Here is a 10,186-nt window from a genome sequence, read left to right as displayed (position 1 = left end):
CCTGAGTAGCTGGGATTACGGCCATGTGCCACCACGCCCAGCTAATTTTTGTATTTTTAGTAGAGATGGGGTTTCTCCATGTTGGCCAGGCTGGTCTCCAGCTCCTGACCTCAGGTGATCCACCCGCTTTGGCCTCCCAAAGAGCTGAGGTTACAGGCCTGAGCCACCACGCCTGGCCTCTATGTCTTTTTAACTAAAAAACAATTTGTCTCACCAAGATGTCAACAATGGACAAAACAGGACTGGCTACGGTGAGGGGAGAGAGGGAGGCAGGAGGGGAGACCTGGCCAGGATCTTGCAATGAGGCAGCCTGGGCCAGGTGTGGGCAGTGCCTGGAAGTGACATCACCAGGACCTGGAATCAGGCAGACCCACCAAAATGAAGGTGCCAAATGGAAGTGGGTTCAGTGGCTCAGGTTCAGGTTCACAGCCAAGCAACATGGACACGCTCAGTCACCCCCGTCCACCCTCCTGCTGGAAACTCAACTCTGTGGCTTCAGGGGACATCACCCTCTTCTGGCTTTCCTCATCTGTCCTAGATGTTCCTTCTCTGTCCCCCATGCAAGCCCCTTTCTCGATGCTTCTGCTCTCACAGCTGGTTCTCAAGGTTTTCTCTTTCTTCCGCCACCTTCCCTATTTTTCAATCTCTCCCCAGATGATCCCATCCACCTACTTTTTTTGTTTGTTTGTTTTTTGGGACAGTCTCGCTCTGTCGCCCAGGCTGGAGTGCAGTGGCGTGATCTTGGCTCACCACAAACTCTGCCTCCCGGGTTCAAGCGATTCTCCTGCCTCAGCCTCCTGAGTAGCTGGGATATGGCTAATTTTTGTATTTTTAGTAGAGATGGGGTTTCACCATGTTGGCCAGGTTGGTCTCAAACTCCTGACCTCAGGTGATCCTCCCGCCTCAGCCTCCCAAAGCGCTGGGATTACAGGCATGAGCCACCACGCCCGGCCTATGTTTTTTTAAATTGTTGTAAAATACTCTAACATAAAATAAAAGTTATCATTTTAACCGTTTTGAAGTGCACGGTCCCGTGGCATTAAACATTTTCTCATTGTTGTGCAGCCATTGCCACTATCCATCTCCAGAACGTTTTCATCTTCCCAAACTGAGACCCTTTGCCTATGGAACACTAACCCCTATCCCCTCCCCTTCATTCACCTGCATTTACATAGTGTTTGCGCCATATTGAGCACTGTTCCGCTTTACATGTACAAACTAAGTGAATTCTCTTAGCCATCCTAAGAGGTAGTACTACCGTCATTCCCATTTCACACATGAGGTAACCAAGGCGGAGAGAAGCTGAGTAAACTCCCAAGGTTTTATGGTGGTTAGTGTTTGGGGTGGATTGTATTATTGGGCCTGGTTATCTTCTTCCCTCTCCACTGGGGAACATGCCTCCCTGATCATTGCCATATGATGCACCTGCCGCGGTAAGGGCACACTTCCTCACCTAATTGACATCAGCTTGTCCTTGTGGCCTGCTTTGGCCAATAGAATGTGAGCAGAAGGATATGTGCTGTATCCAAGCAGAAGCTTTACGGGTCATCACACGGCTGTACTCCTGCTCTTTTCCCTCTGTACGAGGCTGAAATGGAGGATCCCTAGGTTCCAGAAGGAGAAAAACATGGAACAAAGCCAAAGCTGACCCCATAGCCTTCACAGATGTCAGTGAGGATATAAACATTTGTTGCTGTAAGCCACTGGGATTTGTGGGTCACGAGCTCGTGAAAACTGACCACTCCAGTGATGAAGCTGGGTTTGGAATTGACGCATTCTGGCCCCAGGCCAACACTTCCTATGCCTGATCTGGGTGCCTAAGCTTTTCTATTCTGCTGCCTACTGCCCTTTGCCACCTAGGATGACTATAAGCATCTCAAACTCCGATATCTGAAGGGGAAATCGCCATTCCCGCAGTTGGGTGAGCACCACTGCCTGCATTCTGATTCTTCTACTTTAGCTGGCAACACCACAACCTACCTGTTCATTCACACTGGAAACCTGGGGCACATCGTCATACAGACCTCTGCTTTTCCGAACCAATCCACTACCTGGGCCTGCTCATTTTACTTCCCACATAGATACTTCTCCCACCCACGGCATTGTCTTCCCACCACCACTGCCTTCCTTCTGGCTGCTGATGTCTCACTTGAATTAGAGCCTCTGAGAGCTCTCCCTCCTGATCTGAGGCTGCTCAAATCCCATCCCCTCTCAGCCTGTAGAGTGATCACAAAAAAAAATTCAACCCTGTCACCCCCAATTTAAAACCTATCGGTAGCTTTCCTCACCTACAAAATAAAGAGCCTTCACAGGTCTCCATGATCCAGCCCCTGACCACCTCCACAGCCGCAACCTACCACCTCCGCCACAAATCCTGGGCTCTAGCAAGACCAAGCCACCTTCCATTCCACAGCCATAGGCCATGTGATTTCTCCATTCCTTGGCTCATTCCCTTCTGTCTGGAGTGCTCTCCCACACCTGGAGCCCCAAGGACTTATGGATTCTAGGAGCACTCTAAAGGAACACGCAGGAAGTTTAAATATAAATATGGCCCAAGTTTTTTTTTTGTTTTGTTTTGTTTTTTAAGAGACTTCGTTTCCCAAGCTGGAGTGCAGTGGTGTGATCATGGCTCACTGCAGCCTCAAACTCCTAGCCTCAAGCAATCCTCCCACCTCAGCCTCCTGAGTAGCTAGCTGGGACTAAAGGTGTGAGCCACCATGCCCAGCTAATTTTTAAATGGCTTTGTAGAGATGGGGGTCTCACTATGTTGCCCAGGCTGGTCTTGAACTTCTGGCCTCAAGGGATCCTCCTGCCTCACCTCCCAAGGCCCTGGGGTTACAGGCATGAGTCACTGCACCCAGCCCAAACTAATTTTCAATAGTAGATCAATGCCTAACACGAGGCAGCAACATTCACCAATTTCTAAAACCATCAGAAAAAAACCTCAGTGTGAGAATTTTCCTTTCCCCAATAAACCCAGTTAATAAGCCCACTGAGGAGAGTTTGATCATGAAATTAAAAGTACATGCACACAGCAATCAAGAGGTTTCTGGTTTCTTTTGAACATTCCATGCACTCCTCTCCCTCTTCAGCGTTGGTGTTTGATTGACCTGCACTGGGTGAGCAGTAGCTGGGACCAGCTGTTCCTCAAGTTGGTAAAAATCCTCCACTTTCTCCCGAGGGCAAAGCTGCATGAAGGAAGCAAGGCCACCCACTGGCAACTCCTTGATGGGAACCAGTGAGTGTGACCAGAGATGGTGGCTTGGTAGGAATCCAAACAACTGAGAATTCCCAGACAGTAACTTTTCAGTAATGGTTTTCTCCATCCTTGAGAGAGCATCAGGGACGAGCGAGTGTGTGGCTGACCTGCTGAGAGAGGTGAGGAGATATGAAAAAAGAGAGAGATGAAGCAAGCGAGTAGGGAATCCATTTCCAAAGGAAAAGGCCTAGAGGGGCTCAGGCCTTCAGAAATCTGCTCACCTGCCTGCGCCAGGTCCTGAGATGGATGCGTGCATTTCTGATAGTTCTTCTATTCAAAGATGAGAATCAGTGTCAGGGAGAGATCTACTCTTTTCTGTCCAGACCCCCAAAGAACCACATTTCCAGTAACTGGGTAAGCCCATGGTGGGTGGCTTTCTTTCCTTCCATTGGGTGGAAATGATTGCCCTTAAGAGCTATATATTCTCTGCCCAGACAGAGGAGCCTGTGCCTGCTAATCCCTCACAACACCAGTGAGGCACTGGTCAGTCATGTCATCTCTTGGCCATCGTGGTGCTGGGCTCTCACCATGTTCCTTCTCTCACCGGCTGCCCCTTCTCAGTCCTATTTGCTGCCAACCCTGGCTACCTGAATATTTTTGAAACACTTTGAAAAATATCTCAAATCCGGCTGGGCGCGGTGGCTCACACATGTAATCCCAGTACTTTGAAAGGCCGAGGCAGGCAGATCACCTGAGGTTGGGAGTTCGAGAGCAGTCTGGCCAACACGGTGAAACCCCGTCTCTACTAAAAATACAAAAATTAGCTGGGCGTGGTGGCACATATCTGTATTCCCAGCTACTTGGGAGGCTGAGCCATGAGAATCACTTGAACCCGGGAGGCAGAGGTTGCAGTGAGCTGAGATCATGACTGCACTCCAGCCTGGGCAACAGAGCGAGACTCCGTCTTAAAAAAAAAATCTTAAATCCACGCCCTTCTCTAATGCTACCTGTGGCCATGACTGTTCCTTTATTCTCTATCTTCCCAACTTGTGTGTGTTCCTTTATGGCCACTACCACAATTTGTCATTCTTCTATTTTTTGTTTGCTTATTCATTTATGGTCTGCTTTATAAGCTGGAAGAAAGAGAAAGGGATGTGTTTCTCTGACCATTTTATTCTCAGCTACCACATGATGCCTGGCACATAATACATGTTCAATAGATAGTATTGGATGAGTGGACACATGGATGGATGGATGGATGGATGGATGGATGGATGGATGGAGGAACCGTTAAACTATTGACATCACTGACTTCTCGGTTCAAAACTGCCCATTGCTGGACATGTGGACAGTGTAGGAGAAGCTCAGTCCAGAAGCTGGTTAGGTGGCTTGATGCAGTCAGGGCTTCAGAGACCACCAGGTCTGGCCGGCCATGCCCTTGAAGAGGGGCACTGAACAGTCACCCTGTTTCTACAGCCCCAGGGAACTCTCTGGGGCCAAGGTTCTCTGCAAATCCCTCCCCCACTCTCTGAGCTCTGTCTGAAGTCTGGACAAACCTCTCCTCTTTGACCCATGGTTGGCAAAAAAAACAGCTTCCAGAGCCTGACCACTGACAACAGCGAGACTCAGAAGTGTGCCTGATAAGAGGTTTGTGAGCCACTCACGCACGTCTCTGAGGGTGACGCTTAATAGCTTCAAGGTGACATCAGGGTTGGGACTAATATCCGATTGAACAGAAAGAGACATGACCTAACTCGTCTCTCACCGTGGGCCTGGCTGCGAGAGCTTCTCTTTCTTTATTAATTTCCTAACCGGAGCTGCTGGCTCAGGACTCCAGCCTGTCCCCAGAGCCGGGGCCCACGGCTGGGCTTCAATCCAGCGTTAGTGGGAAGGGAACAGGCTCAGCCAGGGTCTGAGAACCCCCAGGATGAAAGTCCACTGAGTCTGTGCTCATCTTGGCGAGAGCCTCATGGTTGGCTTTCTCCACCATCCAGCAGATTTACCCTGCTTTGAGAAAATCCAGTAGGACAGATCCAAAGGCTCTAAAAAATTACTCCTGGTAAAAAAAACCTTGCTGCAGCCTCCCAGCAAGCTGCAGGCTTCCCCAGTGGCTGTAAAGGATGGTTTTATTTGTGTTTTAAAAAATGATTTAAAACCAGTTTTCCAGGAACACAAATCCTGTCTAAAGCACCCGGTGCACCTGGCTAGAGAGCTGCAGGCCTGTGTCTGAGCTGGCTGACTGCCTGGTGGGACCATGATATCTTCAGGTTATTTTCCTTTAAAATATTCTCTGCATTGGCTGGGCATGGTGGCTCATGCCTGTAATCCTAGCACTTTGGGAGGCCGAGGTGGGTGACCAGCCTGGGCAACACAGTGAAACCCTGCCTCTACCAAAATACAAAAAGTTAGCTGGGCGTGGTGATGTGTGCCTGTAGTCCCAGCTATTCAGGAGGCTGAGGCAGGAGAATCGCTTGAACCCAGGAGGTGGAGGTTGCAGAGAACCGAGATGGTGCCACTGAACTCCAGCCTGGGCGACAGAGCGAGACTCCATCTCCTAAAAAAAAAAAAATTCTCTGCATTGCAGGAAGAGAAATCCTGTGTTTCTTATCACCTTCCCTCCCCACTGCTCTCACCCTACCCGCACGTACACACATACACACACACACACACACACACACACGGCTCTCACCCTACCCCCACGTACACACACACACACACACACACACACACACACACCATCTTTGGACACTGATAGATTGCAGTTCCGACACAGGCTGTGCCACAGATTAGCTGTGTGGCCTGCATGGAGTCATTCATCTTCTCTGAGCCTCAGTTTCCTCATCCAGTGGCCTGCAGAAGTAGTGGTGCTTGATAAACACTTGTTGAAAAATGCTCCTACAAAGTACAGATCATATTTTACTCACAGGCTAATAGGAGGATTAGATTGATTCATTCACTCCACAAAAATATTACTTGAGTTCTAACTATGTGTTAAGTCCTAGGTAGGGTGAGTGGAGACGGTCAGACTGTCCCCAGGAAAATGGGGTAAGGTCTACAGAATGCCTCGCACGGTGCCTGCCTCAGAGTGGGCCCTCCAAGTGGGAATGAGTGCCCTCTGTCAGTCTGTCTGTCTCTCTCTCTCTCTCTCTCTCTCTCTCACACACACACACACACAGACACACACACACCCCAGATTCTAGTCAGAGTGCTCTTCCGCTTCTTCAGGGAGGCTGCAACACAGTGTCAGCACAAGCATGGAGCCCGGAGGAGGCCTAGGCTTCAGTACCTGCTTTTCTACTCATTTGCTGCGTGACTTTTAGCAAACCACCCATCTTCCCTGGACCGATTTCCCAACTGCAAAAAACTGAGCATTCTAATACCTTGTTCTGCCTTGAGTACAAAGGTTAAACAGATACTATGGGCAAAACGTTTTCAAAGCGCCAAGCTATACCAAAAAAGAAGTGCTGCTGAGAGGCAGTAGGGGATCGTGGGGAAAGTCAAGGGCTTGGAGGATGCCAGATCCAGATTTGCTTCTGATGCGTTAACCCAGAACAGAACTTTTCACACTGTGGCCACACATGACAGCCCCTAAGCACATCTTACAATACCGATTCAGCCACTATGTCAATCCCCTCACACCCACACCCCCTCCATGGGAGGCATCGCTCAGATCTTCACCCAGGGGCAGCTGGGGAGGAGCAGCCTCTTCAGGAAGGAACCAGAAAGTGAAGGCCCCAGGAAGTCCCTAGGGCGCTCAGCCCATTGTTAAGCTTGACCCGTCCACCCTCCCTTCATCCTGTCTTGCCATGGCTCTGCCCCCTAGGACCCCACTTTTCCTTCCCAACATGACCAGCCCGTGAAAGATCTAGAGTACAGAAAAACCAGGCACAACTGTCTCTTCTCCACAGCGAGGTGCCCTGCAGGCCTGCCAAGCAGGCAAGTCCCCCTCCAGAAGCCGGTACCAAGTGCTGAAGGCTGTGTTTCTTCTAAGAGAGGGTGGGGGAGGCCTGGGCCCCTTCAAATGCCCTTTCATCCTCAGCTGCTCCCGTTCACACACCTCTTCCCTGACAGGCATGAGGAGAAGCTATTACTCGAGAAGACTGCTGGTGGGGACACTGGAGTGGCCGAGGCCCATGAGCCTGGGGGGACCCCTCAGTCAGGACCAGGCTCTTTCTACTCAAGAATCTGTGGCCCTTCTGGGGGCTGTGGCACAGGATGCGGGGCCTTCATCCCACAAATCCCCTCTGTGCATCCCCTGCCGGATCTCTGTGGAGCAGATGCCAGGGGTGGGGGCAGGACACAATGCCCCTCTTTGTTGGGGGGATCCGGGCCGGCAGTCGGGAGGAAATTAGACAGCGCTCCTGACAGCAGGCTCCGTCTGGGGTGTCTGTGAAATATGGGCCAGAGGGGCTCCTTCCAGAGACCAGTTCATGGCCGCCGACCACCCCCACCCCTGCTTTGGGCAGAGAGGACACTGCCTGTTTGGAGAGAAATGATATATGACACGCAGCTTCCTTTCCTCCTCTCCTGAGGGGCTTAACGCAGCTCTGAGAGCCTGGGGAAGCTCATGGCTGCTCCTTGGAGGTGTGAATGTACGCACATATGTGTACACATGTGTATGTGCGTGTGTGTGTACCTGTGTGTGCACACATCTATGAGCCTGTAGGTGTGTGCGTTGTGTGGGTGTTTTCTGAGTTTGTGTGTGTATCTGCTCACTCCATGGCCAGAGGAGAGGGCTCAAAATCCTGGCCAAACAAAATGTTGGCCAAGATGGCACCCTCTTTAGCATCCCTTCATTTTCACAGGCCAGGATGAGGACCTTTGGGGCCTAGGGCCTAAACAAAGCTATTCAGAGAGTGGTGGTGTGAGGCGAAGGGGAGGGAGATTACTGAGCACCCTGTCCGCTGATTCCATCCTCCAAGTGGCCACCTCACAAGGCAGGAACTGTTTTCAGGATGAGCACATCTCCCGCCCCACGGAGGCTCCTAATCCAGCCACAGCATAGCCTGCAGAGCCTCCAATGGCCCCTGAACCATTTGTCTTCAAGAGAGGAAATGGTAGGCTATTCCCACCCACCTAACTCCTTTGCGGCCAGCCGGGTCTCCACATCTGGGCTGCAGCTGGCTGCTCTCTCCAAAGAACAAGAAGACAGAGAACTGTCAGCAGAGGGCTCCGAAAAGTACCTTAACCCCTCAGCAAGCTGGAAGCCACAAAGGATCAGCCTCAGTTTCCACATCTGTAAATGAGAGCAAGGGCAAACCCTGCCTTCTGAAAGGCTGTTGGGATAACTAAAGAATATAAGGGCCGGGTGCGGTGGCTCACACCTGTAATCCAGCACTCTGGGAGGCTGAGGAGGGTGGATCACCTGAGGTCAGGAGTTCAAGACCAGCCTGGCCAACATGGTGAAACCCCATCTCTACTAAAAATACAAAAATTAGCTGAGCATGGTGGTGCACACCTATAATCTCAGCTACTCAGGAGGCTGAGGCAGGAGAATTGCTTGAACCCGGGAGCGGAGGTTGCAGTGAGCTGAGATCGCGCCATTGCACTCCAGTCTGGGAGTGCAACAGAGTGAGACTCCATCTCAAAAAAAAAAAAAAAAAGAAGAAGAAGAAGAAGAAGATGAGGTGTGGAAACATTCAATAAGCTCATAAGATCTCAAGGGTGGTCCAAAGGTTAGTGGCTGGTATACATCCAATAAACATCTGCCAGGTGTCTGCTACAGGTAAGACTTGGGATGGGCACTATGAGAGAATAAGAAAAAGAACAATTTTTTATTTTTTTGAGACAGGATCTCCCTCTGTCATCCAGGCTAGAGTGCAGTGGCACGACCACAGCTCACTGTAGCCTCAACCTCCTGCGCTCAAGCGATCCTCCCATGTCAGCCTCCCAAACAGCTGTGACTACAGGTGCTCACCACCACACCGGCTAATTTTTAAATTTTTTGTAGAGACAAGGTCTCACTGTGTTGCCCAGGCTGGTCTCCAACTCCTGGGCTCAAGCAATTGTCCCTCCTTGGCCTCCCAAAGTGCTGCAATTACAGGTGTGACCCACTGCACCTGGCAAAACAGTGTTTTTGACATCAAAGCTAGTGCAGTCTTTTCACTGTTGTTGTCCACCACAACCTGCTGAGGTGGGTAGATAATCTTATGCCCATTATGCAGTTGAGGAAACCAAGGCTCTAACAGAGGGTGGTCTCAGAGCCCCCTCTTGCTCAAGATTACATACCTAATCTGTGTTGGAAATGGCGTGCCTTGCGTTGTGTCATTTGAGCTGTTGGAAGGAAGTCACCACAGAGCCCTCTCTGGCGAGCCACCGTGGTCAGCAACACCCTGACATCACTTGAGATGGGAAATGGATTAGGTGTGAAGTCACATGCAGTGGAACCCTGGGCTCAAGTTTATTATTGCCATGTCCTGACCAGTTTCTGAGCCTTGAGTACTTCCCTTTCTCTTCCCTTGTCTGCCCAAGGAGGGTTAGGTCTTTGGAACAAGATTCCATGCTTTGCCTCTCTGCTGTTCTTCCTCCCCTGTCCTCAAGATGCCTGGAGTCTCTTCCAGGAAGGAATCTTGCTCAGGAAGAGCCCCAATGACTAAGGGACTCAGGGAAGGTATTATATGATATGGTGGAAAGAATCTGGCCTTTAGGCTCAAACAGATCTTCTCTGAATCCCAGCTCCTCCTCTTCCTAGTGTGGAAGCCTGGCCAAGCCGTTGTTTCTGAGCCTCACTTTCCTCACCTGAAGTGGGACTTCATCCATGGCTCTGAGCTGTTGTGAAGTTTAAATAAGCTAACACACATGGAAGAGCCCAGCCCCGAACCTGGAGCTCAGTTAGTGAACAGGGAGAGTGGGCTGCCTTTCCCTTGCCTTTACTGGGGAAGAAGTGATATATGAGAGATAGATTAGTGAGTCCAGGGGAAGAGGTAGGCAAGACCTCACTGGCTCTGGAAACCAAGGACCAGATAAAAGGAGTGAAGTTTCGGCTGG

Source organism: Homo sapiens, chromosome 17, assembly GCF_000001405.40.
Source record: "Homo sapiens chromosome 17, GRCh38.p14 Primary Assembly".
NCBI classification, from domain to species: Eukaryota; Metazoa; Chordata; class Mammalia; order Primates; family Hominidae; genus Homo; species Homo sapiens.
This window is presented reverse-complemented; position numbering follows the sequence as displayed.